The sequence below is a fragment of the Homo sapiens genome, chromosome 14, assembly GCF_000001405.40.
Source record: "Homo sapiens chromosome 14, GRCh38.p14 Primary Assembly".
NCBI lineage: Eukaryota > Metazoa > Chordata > Mammalia > Primates > Hominidae > Homo > Homo sapiens.
The window spans coordinates 60,930,051-60,950,774 of record NC_000014.9 but is presented as its reverse complement, the minus strand read 5'-3'; the positions used below and the strand labels follow the sequence as shown (position 1 = coordinate 60,950,774).

The 20,724-nt window shown below is 36.6% G+C and overlaps 1 protein-coding gene across 6 annotated transcripts in view, besides 2 other annotated features; it reads right to left on the bottom strand.

Annotated features, from left to right (window-relative positions):
* Window positions 1-20,724, bottom strand: part of MNAT1 (MNAT1 component of CDK activating kinase) — a 235,205-nt gene that overhangs the window by 19,191 nt on the left and 195,290 nt on the right. The gene's annotated exons all lie outside the window — the stretch shown is intronic.
* Window positions 6,390-6,684: a silencer, noted in NCBI's record as "tiled region #14697; HepG2 Repressive non-DNase unmatched - State 23:Low". NCBI's record gives its function as "represses a minimal TATA promoter and a strong SV40 promoter by Sharpr-MPRA in HepG2 cells {active_cell/tissue: HepG2}" and the evidence as "EXISTENCE:reporter gene assay evidence [ECO:0000049][PMID:27701403]".
* Window positions 16,250-16,544: an enhancer, noted in NCBI's record as "tiled region #12651; K562 Activating DNase matched - State 6:EnhF". NCBI's record gives its function as "activates a minimal TATA promoter and a strong SV40 promoter by Sharpr-MPRA in K562 cells {active_cell/tissue: K562}" and the evidence as "EXISTENCE:reporter gene assay evidence [ECO:0000049][PMID:27701403]".

Sequence of the window (20,724 nt, the reverse complement as noted above, 5' to 3'; positions counted from 1 at the left end):
CACCACAAATTATGAAGCTTCGTCGAAAGATGAAAGGGGTTTGAATGAAGGGTAAGCTATACATCAGGGGTGTCCAATCTTTTGGCTTCCCTGGGCCACAGTGGAAGAAAAATTGTCTCGGGCCACACATAAAATACACTAACACTAACGATAGCTAATAAGCTAAAAATAAAACAAAACAAAAAGTCATAATGTTTTAAGAAAGTTTACGAATTTGTGTTGGGCTGCATTCAAAGCTGTCCTGGGCTGCATGTGGCCTGCAGGCCATGGGTTGAACAAGCTAGAGTATATATCAGTCACTGGGGTGGACGAGGTTTTCCTGGAAATTAGAAAACGTCTATAATAATAAAAGGGTGATAGGGTATATAGTGGAAAATGACTTTATTTAAAATATAAATACTTGCATTTTCTTAATGAGTATATTTGAAAATTGCTTTGAGATTTAAATTTATCCCATCTCATAAACTGAACTCTTAGTGTGTTAACCAATTTTATACTCAAATATATATACTACAATAGAATACAACTATGAGTGCAAGGAAAAACAAAAAATTCAAACAGGACTAGACACACTCAAAGCTAAATATTTTTTAAGGTATTTATTTTTCCATTCAAAGCAACTTCCCCTCAAAAGCTTTATTTCATACACTAGAATCTGAATCATGTCAACAACTTAGATAAATCTCTAAAGCAAACAATAACAAGCAAAGACAAAGTCAACTGGATAAAATAACTGATGTTTTCTCTTAATTATGGAAAATTCTATTTTCCAGCCAGTAAAAATTGGTTCATAAAATATCTAAGTCAAAGGACTAGTGACTATAGCAGCAAAATCTGAAAAAGTTCCAAGAGTTCTAGTTTAATGTATAACAATTTCAAGTTTTTAAAAAACATTTTTAATACTTAGGCCCACAGAAAACTTGTACTTTCTTCCAAGAGTAAAACCACAATATCACTTTGGAAAAAACATCACTTTAGAAAAAAAAATAATCTATGCCCACTATCAGAAGTAATGTGCTAATGCAATCAATGGTACCAAAAATGAAGCTTTTCTGAAATAGAATGCTTTAATAGATTAGCCAGTTAGTTGGTTAAATATCATTTGGACCAAAAATTTCATGTGTAAAGAAAATATTTTCCTCTTATTTTAAAAATTGTAGCATTATTTTCAGTATTCTGTTTTGCTTCCAGAGTACATTTTTTGGCAATGCCTTGTAACTGTGCACATGCTGGTATAATATTTTAAATAAAAATACATTCTAATGAGTTACATATGACTTTTTTCTAAAATCATAAGTTTTAAAAGTTAAATTTTACAGAACCTGCTTCAGTACATTACAAAAATGCTTTATCGTTAAAAATGTAGACTTCTTATTTCATCACTTTAAAAGGTTAAAAGAAAGAAAAAAGCCCTACTGTTTTCTTGAATTCTACTTTTGAGAGAAAAATTATTTCCACCTGTCATCCTTAGGTTCAAAACAGGCCACACAGTTTTCCTACGCCAAGAACATGCTTTGGAGAGAACCCGCTACAATTAGTCAACAGGAAGTAAAGAAGAGGAAAAAATCCAAAGTTTATTCTTGATATATTTTGTTCCTAATTGGACTCATTTGCAAAAACTAATTTTTTATGGAACAAAAATAATTTTCAAAAAAATATAAAATAAATATCAAGAGGATAAAAGTCCATCCTTCTTTAAAGATATACTTAAAATTAATTCTACATGTGATTATTAAAAATAAATTTTAAATGCTTTGTAAAATAAGTGAGAAGAATCATGGGTAAGGAGATTATAGTAAGAGAAGTAACACAGAATCCTAAAACTGGAAGGAAATTTTGAAATCATCTTATCTTGCTGTTTCTTTAACAGATAATCCTAAAACTGGAAGGAAATTTTGAAATCATCTTATCTTGCTGTTTCTTTAACAGATAAAATGGCTGATACCTAGATATGCTAAAAAATTAATTTTCTTGAAAAGAATTCAACTATTCAATTAACATATCTTGAACACTTACTATGTACCAACTACTATGTTAAGTGCTAGATGAGAAGACAAACAGTCCCTGTTTTCTAGGAGATATAAGTCTAATAGGAAGAAAAACATAAAAATAAACCATTTTTAATGATAAGAGAACTGGTCACCCGGAGAAGTCAGGCGAGTACAGAAAACATAATGAGTAAGTTGATACATGAAAGGAAAATGATAATTTGCCAGGTAGGTAAAGAAGCAAAGAGGGTTTTCTAGAAATGAAAAAACTCTACAATGACTTGAGGCCTGAGAGAATATGATGTATTCTCAGTGTCAAATCCTGAGGGTTCTGTATGCCTCGAATATCTTTTTTTGTTTGTTTAGAGACAGGGTCTTGCTCTGTCACTCAGGCTGGTGTGCAGTGCCACAATCATAGCCTTGAACTCCTTGGGCTCAAGTGATTGTCCCATCTCAGTCTCCTGAGGAGCTGGGACTACAGGCATGCACCACCATGCCCAGCTAATTTTTAAATTTTTTGTAGAGACAGGGTCTCACTTAGTTGCCCGGGGTGTTCTCGAACTCCTGGCCTCAAGAAATTCTCCCGCCTTGGCCTTGGTAAGCGCTGAGATTACAGGCGTGAGTCACCATGCTCAGCCCCTTCAGTATCTTTTAAAACAGACAATGGGGGCTCAAGAAAAATGTCAGCAGGTGAATAATGCGATTGGGCTTGAATTTTAGAAATTTACCTTTGTAGAAAAGATAGATTGGAGAAAGAGAGGGTAAAAAAGGAAGCAAAGAGAAAAGATTATGAGGGCCTCTATGGGGCTACAGCTCTACAGGCCTTAACTGTCCAATTACATGACATAGCAGCAAGAAGAAATCTTTCCACCTGTCATCGCAGGTCTGGAGCCTGGAAGATTTGCTGAGGTAGGAAGTTTCACTAAAACAATAGTTAGAAGTTAACAATGAAGGTAAGTTCCATTTGGAGCATAAAGAACTGAGTGAAGTACTGGTCAGACACAGGTAGAATGACAGAAGTGTCCAGGATCCATTTGGAAATCTGATTTTCAAACTAACTAAAAAATAAATCTAGGCTTGCAATTTTACATAATTTTTATTTTTCAGATAGAGTCTCACTTTGTTGCCGAGGCTGGAGTGCAGTGGCACAATCTGGACTTACTGCAACCTCTGCCTCCCGGGTTCAAGCGATTCTCCTGCCTCAGTCTCCAGAGTAGCCAGGATTATAGGCACGCATCACCATGCCTGGCTAATTTTTGTGTTTTTAGTAGAGAAGGGGTTTCACCATGTTGGCCAGGCTTGTCTCGAACTCCTGACCTCAGAAGATCCACCCGCCTCGGCCTCCCAAAGTGCTGGGATTACAGGTGTGAGCCTGGACAATTTAACATAAATTATTGTACCTTTTAAACTGTTTTCTCAGAGCCCTTGGGTTCTGAGCAAATACCTTTGGAGCACTATGGGGTTAGAATTGGGAGGGAGGTCCAAATTATCAGGGCTCTGGACCTGTCATTCCCACTGTAATGGAGTAGTTCTGCTTTTGACTATTTTATATGTTGGGGTCCTAGGAAGATATTGTTTTTAAAAAAACAGCTGTGTTCCTTTAAAAAGTCTGAAAACGATTTGCTATGTACTGAATTGTGTTACCTCTACCCTTAAAATTCTTCTGTTGAAGCCCCTACTCTCAATGTGATAGTATTTGGAAATGGGGTCTTTGTGAGGCATTCAGGTTTACATGAATTCACGAGGGTGGAGCCTTCATGACTATATTAATGCCCTTACAAGAACAGATACCAGAGAACAAACTTGCTGTCTCTCTGCCACATGAGGACACAGATAGAAGGCCAGGAAGAGAGCCCTCGCCAGCAATCAAATCAGCCAGGACTTCCCAGCCTCCAGAATTATGAGAAATAGACTTCTATTGTTTAAGCCACTGAGTGTGTGGTATTTGGTTATAGCAGTTGAAGTAGACAAATAGACTATTACCATATAGCTTTAGAATCAAACATTTGATGTTAAATCCTACCCCCATAGTACTGGTCTCAGGAAAGGTATGTGGCCTGTTCAGGGTTGTTATAAATTATCAGGAACGATATACAAGAAGTGCCTAAAAAAGAGCCTACCATACACACAGGTACTCAATTAGTGATAGTGAATGAGAACAAAAGGTCAAGGAATGACTTCACACAATAACTTTAGCAGAGGAAGAAGAACTGGCCAAAAGGATTCAGAAGAAATCAGAGGAAGAAAAAAAAAACAAAAACAAAAACAAAAAGGAAGTAGTGTCATAAAGCAAATGAAAGATACAGTTTGAAGAATAAGAGAATGGTTCGATAGAAGGGTAAAATAAGAAAAGGACCGCAAGTTACCCACCAAATTTTGTAATTAGCAAGTCGATTGTGAATCAGCAAAATCAGATTCTAAGTAAAAGCCAAATTCCACTAGGTTTGGTGGATGAATCAGAAATAAGGAAGTAGAGAGAGCAAGTATAAGACTTTTTTCAAAGGTTTTTCATTGAATATGGAAGAAAGAGCAGTAGTCAGAGGAAGATTCAGGGTTGATGAAGCGACTATGTGGTTTTAAGATGGAAATTTGAGTATGTTCATGTTGTAAAGGAAATATTTCAACACAGAGAAGATGATCTCAATCTGAAAGAGGGAGGGAGACCAATTTGATGGTCTAATATCCCTGAGTTGAATCAAAAGTAGGCCATGGAACACAGGTGGTGGGACTGGCCTCAAAAGCAGGACAGGCCTTTCTGCCAATAAGAATGGACAGAAGGAGTTAGCAATGTGTACAAGTATGGACGAGTTTATAGTTAGAGTGTGGCTTTGGAGAGAATGTATTCATACATACGTTTTCTCTGTGTAGCATGTTGAAAAGTTAGTTGCTGAGTATAAAGAGGGGAAAGTGGAGTGGGAGATTTAGGAAACTGATGATGTGGGAAAGCCACTGTGGGATGTGAGAGAAGAAGCCACCGTATCTGTGTGCAAAATGATACCTGAATGGCACCAATCTGTTGTTTATGGGATCTTCTCCAGCTTCTCTCGGCAGAACTAATTTAACAATAATTCATACATGTTTTAAAATTTCTAATTATTATTTGTATTCAAATGTTATATATTGTCACAATATAACGAAAACACTAAAATACTAATGTATTTAATATAATTAAAACAGTAAAAATACTAATGTGTTCATAAGGAAGAAAAGATGTGATTATAAAGGAATTTTAGAAAGTGCCCCCAGTGGCCTAAGCCCTTCTCTCATGTAACAGAGAAAAATGACCAAAGATTTATTCAACTTTGAGACTGGGCCCATATTGTAAAGTGATTCCTATAAGGAATCTATTTGGTATTCAAATTTATTCCAAAGAAAAACAAAGAAAATAGATAGTTAGAATTCCTTTATATAAAGATGCTCTATTTTTTTTTTCTGGCAAAGGGCTCTGGATAGAGATAAAATTACCTGACTCCCCTCTTACATAATAAAAAGATTATCATGACACATTATAGACTCAAAAGATGGATTTAGAAAAAAAACTGAAAGTGCTGCCTGTGTCTCAAAAAAACATTTTGGGACACAATAGGAAGCTATAGGTTTGGAAATATTCTTAACCCCTGAAGTATACCTTGAACAAGAAAGTATACTACTAAGCTTTGAGTGAAAAGCACTTGAGCCTACATGATGATGGTAAGTGGTTCTTAGTAGCTTTGAAACTCTGATTCAGGTCTTCACATTAGCTGCTTAATTGCACTGACTGAATTTTTCATTAGCTGATGAAATATTTTATTAGCTTTGGGAAACTGCTATAATCATATTTACAGTAAGAGTTTTCTAAATATTTATTTCCTTGGAGCAAAGAGTTAACACTTTTTAAGAGCTATGTTTGCATGAAAACTCTTTGAGTCCTCTCATTATTTGTACATCTATGAATAATTCAGACAATAAAATGGAATAAAAATTAAAACCAGAGATAATTTCTCCTAGAAAATTATGAGTTCTAGAAAGTGAAATTAAAGTGCCTCGCTTACCAAAATCTTGACAATTTGAAGTTTTATAAGTTTATAAAATTTTATAATTTAGGCACTTCTTGTATATTGTTCCTGATAATTTATAACAACCCTGAACAGGCCACATACCTTTCCTGAGACCAGTACTATGGGGGTAGGATTTAACATTAAATGTTTGATTCTAAAGCTATATGGTAATAGTCTATTTGTCTACTTCAACTGCTATAACAAAATACCACACACTCAGTGGCTTAAACGATAGAAGTCTATTTCTCATAATTCTGGAGTCTAGGAAGTCCTGGCTGATTTGGTTGCTGGCGAGGGCTCTCTTCCTGGCCTTCTATCTGTGTCCTCACGTGGCAGAGAGACAGCAAGTTTGTTCTCTGGTAGCTGTTCTTATAAGGGCATTAATAGAGTCAGGAAGGCTCCACCCTCATGAATTCATATAAGCCTGAATGCCTCACAAAGGCCCCATTTCCAAATACTATCACTTCCATACAAAAGGACTATAGAAACTTACGATCTCTGATAAGGAAGGGCACCTGGCTGACCCTTTGTCATTTTCTTCAGGGTAAGAGTCAGTTAACTGTCTACTTTCTTAACACTACAAAATAGGAAACATTCTACCTCCTCTACTAGTTAATATATTCTGATTTGCTCACATTCCTGGTCCAAATCACCAGATGTACTAAATCATTAGTTAATTATAGAAATGCCAGGAACAACTGTAAAATAAGCATTTTAATACCCTTGCATAGTTTCTGGAATGACATTGCAGTTCTAGTTAGAAACCTATAATTTGTTCATCCTATATACAAAACTTATATGAATAACACTTAAGAATTCTATGATAATGCAGCTACTTTTAGTCCATGACTAAATCTTGCTTCGGTTATAATTAATCCTGGAAAATTCATTGCTTGAGAAGGCAGGGCTCCATATGGAGTTAACCTTGTTTTAAAACATGCTAACAGTCTCCCTTCCTCTCCATACCTTGCATAAATCTGAAAACTTAAAATGCTACATTCAAAAGATGTATATATTTTAAATTAGGCATGGGTGCCCTAGCAACCAGCAACATGGAGGGCAAAATAATGCATTTATTTGTTTTGGATAATTTTATGTCTCTGGTGGAAATGTTTAGGAATTAAAAAAAAAAAGAGAAACAAATCCTTCCACCTCTCCCCACTCCCTCACTGCCCACTGCCTGAACAGATAATTGACTCTAACGAGATGATATGAAAAACAAAAACAAACAGTTGAAAGATTAGCCAGAAGATGACCCTAATTCTGCTGTTTATAAGCCATATGGCCTGGGGCAAATGACTTTGCTTCAATTTCCCCACCTGTAAAATGAATGCAGCAATAATTATACTTGCCTTGCTTATCTCCTAGAATTGTAGTTAAGAATCAATGAAATGATGCTTTGAAACTGTGAAGTGCTCTGAAATTTTATGAGTGTTCATATTAGCAAAGGCACATTTACTCAGCTAATTTACAATTACTGTTTCCAGTAACAATTTAGAAAGTGACTCAGATCTATAGAAGTTAAATCTGAAAGCTGAATAATTTATTCAGTATGCATCAGAGGAACCACAATTGTTGATTTACAAATACACATGGTTCTCTGGGAGGCGGAGGTTGCAGTGAGCCAAAATTGCGGCACTGCACTACAGCCTGGGTGACAAGAGCAAGACTCCGTCTCAAAAAAAAAAAAAAAAAAGCGCACACACACACACACACACACACACACACACACACACACACACACACTACATGTGGTTCTAATTCAATTAATACAAACTTGTGGAAAGTCAAATGACAAGATAACTAAGAGATTATCAGCCCATTAAAAATACATCTGTAAATTAAGTGAATTATGATTTAGCTCTACTGACAAAAGCACTGCGACAGTGAGGTTAAACTTGATTTTGCAGTAGTAATGAATAATCCCAAAATTTCAGTAGCTTTACCAGAGGCTTATTTCTTGCTTACTTTAACATATGTTAAAGAAGCTTTAATTTTAATTTCTAAAATGCATTGTAGTGGTCATTTCTTATATTGCAAACTTGTATCTACTATTTTTTTATTCATAAAAATGGGCTGATTTTTACAAATTTTCGATTTAATATAAATATCACTGCAAAAGAAGGGCGCTAAATCAGAGGCTCTTAAACAAAGTCAAAGAAAACCTTACTGTTTTAATAACTGTCAACGATTGTCTTAGGCACTGATAGTGGAAAAAACAAATGTCAGTACCGCGAGATTACTATATGAATATCACTATTTTAAATAAGACTAAAAGAGTCCAAATTTACAAAAAAAAAAAAAAATTAAGAGAGAAATAACAATAAGGGCCCCTTTCTTGTGACAGCAAATGGTGATAGGATTTTTGGCACTGTAAGTAAAGCTTACTATCCCCCAGTTAGGGTTTTGCTTCTGGGCACTGCTTGAGGGCAAGATGGAAGAAGTCCAGAATGACAAGTTTTCCTGTGCTAACACTACTGGAATAAGCAGCAGCAGCAACAAATGGTTAAATAAAGATAGATGTGCTTTTTGGCTGAACTCTTTAAGACAGACAACTTAACGGTAATCATTTATATCAGAAAAAACTATTCCATTTAAAAGTATGTTTCCCTAAAAGTATTTTCATCAGCTTAAAATTTTTTTAGTGGAGTGTGGAAAAGAAGATATGAACCAACAATCCCTAACTTTGAATAGAGAAGCAGCTTTCATTTATTGACTTTTTTTTTTTTTTTTTTTTTTTTTTTTTGAGATGGAGCCTCATTCTGTCGCCCAGGCTGGAGTACAGTGGTGCGATCTCGGCTCACTGCAAGTTCCGCCTCCAGGTTTCATGCCATTCTCCTGCCTCAGCCTCCCGAGTAGCTGCAATTACAGGCGCCCGCCATTACGCCCGGCTAATTTTTTGTATTTTTAGTAGAGACGGGGTTTCACCATGTTAGCTGCGATGGTCTCCATCTCCTGACCTCATGATCCGCCCGCCTCAGCCTCCCAAAGTGCTGGGATTACAGGAGTGAGCCACCGCGCCCGGCCATTGACTTTTTTTTTTTTTAAGAAACAGGGTCTAACTCTATTGCTCACACTGGAGTACAGTGGCACAATCTTAGCACCAGCCTTGAACTCCTGGGCTCAAGTGATCCTCCCTCCTCTCCCTCCTGAGTAGCTAGGACTATAGGCGCATACCACCATACCTGGCTAAGTTTTGTTCTTTAAATTTTTGTAGAGATGGGTTCTTGCAATGTTGCCCAAGCTGGTCTTGAATTCCTGTCCTCAAGCAATCCTCCTGTCTTGGTCTCCCAAAAGGCTGAAACTACAGGTGTGAGCCAGTGTGCCGAGCCATCAGAAACTATTTCTTAACAAGGTAAATCTTTAAGGAGAACAAACTTTTGTTTCACCATTCTAGCTATAAGTGTGACTACATTTTAAACTATGTTATTGAAAGCATCCTAGTCAGTAGTATTGACCATAAATTCATTAATACAATTTCCTGAATCACAGGGACTAAGAGATCAAGGGAAAAATGGACTAGCCAGAGAAATATTTCCAGATGAGGAACAAAACAGTAATACAATTAAATGAATTTTTGATCTGTTAAATTCACCATTGTTTATTATTTAAATACCACATAATCACTAAAAACCATAAAAACTAGAAATAACAAAACTTCTATATACTATGAGAATAAACGGAATTTTATTAAATTACCAATACTTAACACAGGCATTTCCCAAAAACTTTTAAAGAATAATTCAAATATTAACACTAGGTGGGAACGTCATACAGTTAACATTATCTAGAGTTTCAAATATTTCAATAGAAACTATATATGACTAAAGTTCAAATCTCACTCTAACTTTTTTTTTAAATTGAGCTTCTCAGGCTATTCTAATTTTGACCCTTCTGATTCTGTAATGTTGAAGAGATTTGTGAGAAGGAATAAGGAAGAACTGAATTTTAAACCCATCCTTTTAGATATCTCATCATAAGTTTATTAAGCCATTGAATTCAGATAAATAAGTAAGAAAGCTTTGAGACAGACGGCCAGGTGCAGTGGCTCACGGCTGTAATTCCAGCACTTTGGGGGACCAAGGCGGGCAGATCATGAGGTCAGAAGATTGAGACCATCCAGGCTAACACAGTGAAACCCCCTCTCTACTAAAAATACAAAAAATTAGCTGGGCGTGGTGACAGGCACCTGTAGTCCCAGCTACTCGGGAGGCTGAGGCAGAAGAATGGCATGAACCTGGGAGGCAGAGCTTGCAGTGAGCCAAGATCGTGCCACTGCACTCTAGCCTGGGCAACAGAGCGAAAATCCGTCTCAAAACAACAACAACAAAAAATAAAGCTTTGAGACAGCCAAATGCCTAGGCAGATAAAAAGGGGTCTCCAGAGCCACTGCAAAAACATGCCAAATTGTAAAGACCATCGAGGCTAGGAAGAAACTGCATCAACTAATGAGCAAAATAACCAGCTAACATCATACTGACAGGATCAAATTCACACATAACAATATTAACCTTAAATGTAAATGGGCTAAATGCTCCAATTAAAAGACACAGACTGGCAAATTGGATAAAGAGTCAAGACCCATCAGTGTGCTGTATTCAGGAAACCCATCTCACGTGCAGAGACACACATAAGCTCAAAATAAAGGGATGGAGGAAGATCTACCAAACAAATGGAAAACAAAAAAAGGCAGGGGTTGCGATCCTAGTCTCTCATAAAACAGACTTTAAACCAACAAAGATCAAGAGAGACAAAGAAGGCCATTACATAATGGTAAAGGGATCAATTCAACAAGAAGAGCTAACTATCCTAAATATATATGCACCCAATACAGGAGCACCCAGATTCATAAAGCACGTCCTTAGAGACCTACAAAGAGACTTAGACTCCCACACAATAAAAATGGGAGACTTTAACACCCCACTCTCAACGTTAGACAGATCAACGAGACAGAAAGTTAACAAGGCTCTCCAGGAACTGAACTCAGCTCTGCACCAAGCAGACCTAATAGACATCTACAGAACTCTCCAACCCAAATCAACAGAATATACATTCTTTTCAGCACCACACCACACCTATTCCAAAATTGACCACATAGTTGGAAGTAAAGCACTCCTCAGTAAATGTAAAAGAGCAGAAATGATAACAAACTGTCTCTCAGACCACAGTGCAATCAAACTAGAATTCAGGATTAAGAAACTCACTGAAAACCACTCAACTACATGGAAACTGAACAACCTGCTCCTGAATGACTACTGGGTACATAACGAAATCAAGGCAGAAATTAAGATGTTCTTTGAAACCAACGAGAACAGAGAGACAACATACCAGAATCTCTGGGACACACTCAAAGCAGTGTGTAGAGGGAACTTTATAGGACTAAATGCCCACAAGAGAAAGGAGGAAAGATCTAAAATTCACATCTTAACATCACAATTAAAAGAACTAGAGAAGCAAGGGACAAACACATTCAAAGCTAGCAGAAGGCAAGAAATAACTAAGTCAGAGCAGAACTGAAGGAGATAGACACACAAAAAACCCTTCAACAAATCAATGAATCCAGGAGCTGGTTTTTTGAAAAGATCAACAAAATTGATAGACCGCTAGCAAGACTAATAAAGAAGAAAAGAGAGAAGAATCAAATAGATGCAATAAAAAATGATAAAGGGGATATCACCACCGATCCCACAGAAATACAAACTACCATCAGAGAATACTATAAACACCTCTATGCAAATAAATCAGAAAATCTAGAAGAAATGGATAAATTCCTTGACACATACACCCTCCCAACACTAAACCAGGAAGAAGTTGAATCTCTGAATAGACCAATAACAGGCTCTGAAATTGAGGCAATAATTAATAGCTTACCAACAAAAAGAAGTCCAGGACCAGAGGGATTCACAGCTGAATTCTACCAGAGGTACAAGGAGGAGCTGGTACCATTCCTTCTGAAACTATTCCAATCAGTAGAAAAAGAGGGAATCCTCCCTAACTCATTGTATGAGGCCAGCATCATCCTGATACCAAAGCCGGGCAGAGACACAACAAAAAAAGAGAATTTTAGACCAATATCCCTGATGAACATTGATACAAAAATTCTCAAAAAAATACTGGCAAACCAAATCCAGCAGCACAGCATATCAAAACACTTATCCACCATGATCAAGTGGGCTTCATTCCTGGGATGCAAGGCTGGTTCAACATACACAAATCAATAATCATAATCCAGCATATTAACAGAACCAACGACAAAAAACACATGATTATCTCAATAGAGGCAGAAAAGGCCTTTGACAAAACTCAACAACACTTCATGCTAAAAACTCTCAATAAATTAGTTATTGATGGGACATATCTCAAAATAATAAGAGCTATCTATGACAAACCCACAGCCAATATCATACTGAATGGACAAAAACTGGAAGCATTCCCTTTGAAAACTGGCACAAGACAGGGATGCCCTCTCTCACCACTCCTATTCAACATAGTGTTGGAAGTTCTGGCCAGGGCAATCAGGCAGGAGAAAGAAATAAAGGGTATTCAATTAGGAAAAGAGGAAGCCAAATTGTCCCTGTTTGCAGATGACATGATTGTATATCTAGAAAATCCCATCGCCTTGGCCCAAAATCTCCTCAAGCTGATAGGCAACTTCAGCAAAGTCTCAGGATACAAAATCAATGTGCAAAAATCACAACCATTCTTCTACACCAATAACAGACAAACAGCCAAATCATGAGTGAACTCCTATTCACAATTGCTTCAAGGAGAATAAAATACCTAGGAATCCAACCTACAAGGGATGTGAAGGACCTCTTCAAGGAGAACTACAAACCACTGCTCAATGAAATAAAAGAGGATACAAACAAATGGAAGAACATTCCATGCTCATGGGTAGGAAGAATCAATATTGTGAAAATGGCCATACTGCCCAAGGTAATTTATAGATTCAATGCCATCCCCATCAAGCTACCAATGACTTTCTTCACAGAATTGGAAAAAACTACTTTAAAGTTCATATGGAACCAAAAAAGAGCCCGCATCGCCAAGTCAATCCTAAGCCAAAAGAACAAAGCTGGAGGCATCATGCTGCCTGACTTCAAACTATATTACAAGGCTACAGTAACCAAAACAGCATGGTACTGGTACCAAAACAGACATATAGACCAATGGAACAGAACAGAGCCCTCAGAAATAATGCCACATATCTACAACCATCTGATCTTTGACAAACCTGACAAAAACAAGAAATGGGGAAAGGATTCCCTATTTAATAACAAATGGTGCTGAGAAAACTGGCTGGCCATATGTAGAAAGCTGAAACTGGATCCCTTCCTTACACCTTATACTAAAATTAATTCAAGATGGATTAAAGACTTAAATGTTAGACCTAAAACCATAAAAACCATAGAAGAAAATCTAGGCAATACCATTCAGGACATAGGCATGGGCAAGGACTTCATGTTTAAAACACCAAAAGCAATGGCAACAAAAGCCAAAATTGACAAACAGGATCTAATTAAACTAAAGAGCTTCTGCACAGCAAAAGAAACTACCATCAGAGTGAACAGGCAACCTACAGAATGGGAGAAAATTTTTGCAACCTACTCTTCTGACAAAGGGCTAATATCCAGAATCTACAATGAACTCAAACAAATTTACAAGAAAAAAACAAAAAACCCCATCAACAAGTGGGTGAAGGATATGAACACACACTTCTCAAAAGAAGACATTTATGCAGCCAAAAAACACATGAAAAAATGCTCAGCATCACTGGCCATCAGAGAAATGCAAATCAAAACCACAATGAGATACCATCTCACACCAGTTAGAATGGTGATCATTAAAAAGTCAGGAAACAACAGGTGCTGGAGAGGATGTGGAGAAATAGGAACACTTTTACACTGTTGGTGGGACTGTAAACTAGTTCAACCACTGTGGAAGTCGGTGTGGCAACTCCTCAGGGATCTAGAACTAGAAATACCATTTGACCCAGCAATCCCATTACTGGGTATATACCCAAAGGATTATAAATCATGCTGCTATAAAGGCACATGCACATGTATGTTTATTGCAGCACTATTCACAATAGCAAAGACTTGGAACCAAGTCAAATGTCCAACAATGATAGACTGGATTAAGAAAATGTGGCACATATACACCATGGAATACTATGCAGCCATAAGAAATAATGAGTTCATGTCCTTTGTAGGGACATGGATGAAGCTGGAAACCATCATTCTCAGCAAACTATCGCAAGGACAAAAAACCAAACACCGCATGTTCTCATAGGTGGGAAATGAACAATGAGAACACACGGACACAGGAAGGGGAACATCACACACGGGGGCCTGTTGTGGGGTGGGGGGAGGGGGGAGGGATAGCATTAGGAGATATACCTAATGTTAAATGATGAGTTAATGAGTGCAGCACACCAACATGACACATGTATACACACGTAACAAACCTGCACGTTGTGCACATGTACCCTAAAACTTAAAGTATAATAAAAAAAATGCACACACACAAAAAAGGGGTCTCCGGAGAATCTCTGAACAGCCCCACAAGTGTTTACATCAGATGCTTTCGTGCAGATGAGGGAACCTGCCCATGACCTTGTCTGAGCATGCCCACATGCGCACTGGGGGAACGGGGTGGAGCCACCAGTAGCAAGGAGGATCCTGGCCTCCTCAGTTCCTGTGTGGTGGCCTGGGATTCAACCTGTGAGGTTGGGGGCCTGTTAGCAGGAGTCCATCTCACTGTGCTGGGTTTTTTGTTTCTTTTTTTCCCTTTTAGCCTAATAATATCCTGTTCTACTCACCTTTCAATGTGTCTGCATGCCTAAATTTCCCTGGTTGCGTGACAAGAGCCCGGTTTTAGCTGAACTAAGGAGCAAAATTCGGCAACAGCTTGATGTTCAATTTCCTTATCTACAGGGAATTTCAAATCCAATACTGCATCTTCAACTATATGTTTGAAAAAAGCAGCATCTGTGAGGGCCCAAATCTATGTATATAGAATCTATTGCTTTCTGATTTCTCCTCCTACCCTGCATCATACTCTTATTCCTGGCATTTCTCCATCACTTGTCATTCTGTGAGCAGAAGCCATAATATATTTTTGAATTTTTCACAATGTCCAAACACATTATGTGCCCATAACACACTCACAGTATTTGTTAAATGAATTTAAAATACTGAAAATAAGAGAAGATACTACTTCTTGAAGACAAGGAATAAAGCAACACATCTGGAAGTAATTTCTAGTTCCTTCAACTAATGGAAAATGAATAAGCAACAGTAAGAATCAAAATGCAACTTTTTATCAATGTCACATCTAAGTACATTCTTGCACTTTATATAAAGTATTTCAATATCAACTATAATGCTAAGAAAGAGAGAAAGAAGAAAGGAAGGAGGGAGGGAGGGAGGGATGGGGGCTAGGTAGGTAGATGAGGGAGGGAGGAAGAAAGAAAAAAAAGAGAGGGGGAGAGAGGTGGGGAAGGTGACAATTGCCTGAAATATGGCCCCTATCTACGTAACACAAATGGTCCTCTTCAAGAGTTTTTTGACTACATATAGTGAAACTAACTGACAGCATCAACAAAAACTTAGGGAAAAGGAAAACACATTTACCTAGATAATCTCTTAGGTTCATTTAAAATTCTTCATTTAAAGCCTCTCTAAAATTAAAGAAGTTAGGCTACTTGTGAAATGTTAAATGGAAAATGAATAATAAACAACCACAAATACAAAGGTACTAAGGTACAGAAAATCTACTTCACTAGAATTCCTTAATTTAGGGAAAGCACCTCTATATTTGTTTACACACTTTGTTTAGAAGGAAACCCTTGATAAACTAGGGAAAGTGAGGCATTCTGCCCCTCCCAAGAGCATTTAAATGTGGGAGAAATTGCCTTCCACAGGCAAGGGAAGTAATTTCTTTATGTTCCAGAAAGAGAGGAAGGAAAAAGACAGAAGAGATGAAATGAGCAATGTGACATATGGTCTGTATTAGTCCATTTTCTTGCTGCTGATAAAGACACACCCAAGACTGGGCAATTTAGAAAAGAAAGAAGTTTAATTGCACTTATAGTTCTACATGGCTGGGGAGGCCTCACAATCATGGTAGGAGGTGAAAGACATGTCTCACATGGCGGCAGACAAGAGAAGACAGCTTGTGCAGGAAAACTCCCTTTTTTAAAACCATCAGATCTCGTGAGACTTATTCACTCTCAGGAGAACAGCATGGAAAAGACCCGCCCCCTTGATTCAATTACCTCCTACTGGGTCCCTCCCACGACACATGGAAATTCGAGATAAGATTTGGGTGCGGACACAGCCAAACCATATCATGGTCATAGTTTACAGTTGGGTGTAAAGGTGCAGATACCAGGATGAAATCAATTTTCAGACCCAGACAAAATAGGGCCAGGAAGGCACCAAGGAAAGGAGGCTCATGCTTACATGTCTGTTTCCAGTGATGTCCTAAAATCCCTGTAAGAAATATGCATCTCCTGCCTTTGACAAGGTTTATCACTGTATATTCTTTAGGACGGCAGTAACTCAGATAAGTTGCTCTTGGAAGAACACTTGCCCAGTAACAGCATCTCTACGAATGAATTGTCAACAACTTGGACTTTGAACTTCTGAAACCAATAAACTCTCTTTCTAAGCAGCTTATGTACATCTCTACCTTTTGGCTAATAAAAGCTTCCCTTTACTCTTCCCTCACTGAATGCACTTGTAGCTTGCCCTTTCATCCATTCCACTTTATAATCCTTATTTCTCATTCCCAAGAAAACTAAACATATTTAGAGATAATTTTCTCTAGTGTCTTTTTTTAGGTTAACATAGGTAATATGATCCCTCCTGGTAACCCTTAAATCTTCCAGACAATGTGCGTAGATTTTCTGGGGAATTCATTTAAGTGAAAAAATTCTATATACAAGGTAACAAAGGGTGGGACAGAGCCTCTCAAAGGAATACCATAGTACGGAATTAGAGCAGGGAGATAAACAAGGAAAACAAACAATTATGGGTAGGACTTCAGACTGTCAATAGCTATGGGATTGTCTAGATCCATGTTTTAGATGTGATTATGCTTTTTACTTAAATAACAAAGGAAGGACATCTCATTTTCTTAAAAACTAAAATTCTTATTAAATAAATAAATGGGATAATTTGTCAATCATGTACTCCCTTATTTTCTTTACATTTTTCCTTAAATTCTTTTTAAGAATTTAACCTGTGACTTTCCCTTGGTGTTAAGAGCACAAATAAAATCACTGGGACAAAACATCTTACCCGCTACTTTGTTTGCTTCAAAACATCAGAAAACCAAGTAGTCTTCCTTAAAGATAAACTGAATTTTTATTTCAATAATTAGGAAATAAATGCTACACTGAACTAAATGCCAAAATTATACGGAAGAACGGCAATACAACAATTTATCATTGTGTCGATATGCCTAATTGATCAAATTAGAAGAAGAAAAAAAGGAGAGAAAGGAAAGGTAGAAAATCTCAATAGACCTAAAATCAGTATAATACAAATAGATTCTAAGGGACCGGACTTTCTATATTATACTTCAATATTCTACCAGTCAGTATTCTAGGCTCTTCCATATATTACCTCATTTAGTACTCAAAACAACCCCATTAGATATCTCCATTTCATAAAGGAGGAAACAAAGACACAGAATGTTAGGTAGGTTACCTGCCTAGGGTTATAAACCAAGCAAAACAGCCAAGATTTGAACTCAGGCAATATAATTCCAAAAATTCTCTCAACTCCTACACTGTACTGCATATTATTATTATTTACAAAGTGATTCATATATCTTCAAAGTTTTGTTTTTAAGATTATGGTTATATTTATCAAATCAAATTTTCTGAAAATGTAACACAGTATACACCAAATTATGATGCAAAAACACTGATATTTAGCTATTCAGAAATAAGTATGATCTCTAACACATAGCTTTAAAAATGATAAATCCTAGAGCACAGGATAAGAAATAGATAACAACTGTATGGTCATCTATTATGTTTAACTATTGGGAATTAATGTCAGTAGTGCAGAATAAAATTCTTACCTGGCATTCAGTATGAGATATATAAATATATAAAAACAGTTAAAAATAGTTTTCTAAAGTGGTAAACTAAAATCTATCTAACATTTAAAGAATAAAGAAAAGAAAAAAACAGAGCTGAAATACCTGCACACTCCACGTAAGACAGTTTCTTGAACTATATTAATCATTATTTAACCATGTCTTTAAAGGAGGGAAAAAACCTCCAAATTTTCTAAAAATGGAAACCTCTTTTAAAAAAATGAAATGAAATGCTGTACTAAGTGGAATTACAGTTCTGGAATGCAAGTGTTAATTATTTTATGATGAACCAACAATGAACACCTATAGCATAATTTAAGGCTGCTGTAGTTTTACAAGGATAGAAGAAAAACTAAATATTATTCTCTAAAAAAGTGATTTTATACTACAAATGAAACAAAAATTTAAGAAATATGAGCGAATTAAAAACTAGTATGTCAGTCTTATTTTAGACTAAACTTACATAAGAAAAAAGATAACAGAACTCTAATGTAACCTAATATATAGGTTTGTACAAGCAAAAATTAAAGACATATACTAGAAAACTTGATAATATAAAATTGATTAAAACTAACATCCTTATAATATGAAGTTTTTATCAGAAAAAATTAGTAAGAGTAAGAAGTATGAATATTCTAGAAATGGCAAATATTTACACACAAACTTAATTCAATGGACAAATAACACACTTAATTCTCAAAATGACTGAATTAAAAAATTTAAAAAGTAGGCTCAGTATCTAAGGGAGTATATAATTAATTCACCATTGTTTTTTTAAAAAAAAACTTTGAGGATGTTTTTAAAATCTTCTACCTTGACAATTAAGCAGCTCTTTTCAGAGTGTCAAAGGTTATAGATATATACACACACACCATATATATACACACATATATATATATGCATTAAAGTAAGTAGTACTATTCTCCCACACTGACTAAATCAAAAATATTAAGGGTCTTACATATTAAATATACAATTCAGGTCTACGATATGTATCTACAGACATATTTTTGAAATAAGAAAAAAGTTAGAGAAATATGAATAAAAAACATTTCAAGTTACACCCAGTGCTGCAATGGGCTTTGTTATCACAGAATCTTTTACAGTCTACCTATTTTGGTCCAGCCCAGCTGCTGTGGCAAGTGGTAGTGGTGAATCAGAAGGAAGCGGCAGCTGCACATACTCTCTGGCAGCAGAATAAATGCAGTCCCTGTCCCCAATTATTTCTCTCCCTGGCCTTTCCCTGACACAGGCAACAAAAGTGAGTAGTGAGAAAGCAAGCCTGAGCAGCTGCCTTAATCATTCAGATCCCTGCTGCAGCTCTCACACAAAGACTTGTGTCTAAGTGGCATATTCTATAGGCTGTGCAAAACTCTGAAGGAAGCCTGAACCCTATGAAAGTCATCACAGAGCCATCCAGACACTCAAGCCAAAAACCTTGGAATTTTCCTAGACTCATTCCTTACCCTGCACCTGAAGTCAGTGGCCAAGTCCTTTCAATTCTATCCCTTCAGTCTCAAATCCATTCCCTCAACTCCATCCTCACTGCTTACAACTCTCTTATTTTGGCACTTTATTTTACTTCAGGCTTCTCAAATACATGATCCATACTGCTGCCTTCAGAAGTATTTTTTCTAAAATATAAATCTGAATATCTCAATTATTTAAACGTCTTCCATAGCTACCTATTACTAAGAGTGTATGGTTCAGAGCCTAGTTACTGAGATAGCAGTGGTTTTCAACCTTGATTTAAGACACACAGGAACAAAAAGGGGGAAAGGAGTATTACTCAAAATACTTAATATGATAAATAAGATTCTTCATGATTTGATCCTAACTAGTTTCTTGTCACTTTATGTTACAAACCCTGTGCTCCAGTCAGACTGAACTACTTACATTTCCCTCAAGGCACCCTGTTCTGTCAAATCTCTGAATCCTTCTGTTCTGACGGAATGTTCTGTTCATGCTACTAGGAGACTCTTACTTATCCTTTAAAATGAAGTTGAATGTCCATATCTCTATGAAATGTTCCTTGACCCTCTCTTCTTATGTCTTGTTTATATGACAATCTCCCTTTTCCAGACTGTCAGCTTTTGAAAGAGGAATTATGGCTAATTGGTCTTCATAATTCTTCCACCCAGCACAATTACATTTAATATACTTCAGAAGGAAGGAGAATCTTGGCACTTGGCAATATCATACTTCTCTCCATTATATCTCTTAAATTCTCTTCAGTTTAAGAAGTCATTTCAGAACATCTGTGCCATCAAGGCATTGTGGGATGAGGTATGAGGGGACAGGGTAGAGTATAGTGAGATGGAGAAACAAAAATGAACAAGAGATGTTCCCAGACTTAGAAAAGCTTATCTAGAGAAGGAAATAGACTCAAATAATAATAATAATAATAATAATAATAATAATAATAATAAAGACGGAAGAAGAATCTTTAGTAATAAAGATCTCGAAGGAGGATATCCTCTTAAGCAAATACTCTGGAATTGACTGATGATAGTGTTTGTAACACAACTAAAACTAAACACTGCCTCAATGACCTCTACTTTTTGACCTGGAAAAGTAATTAAGGA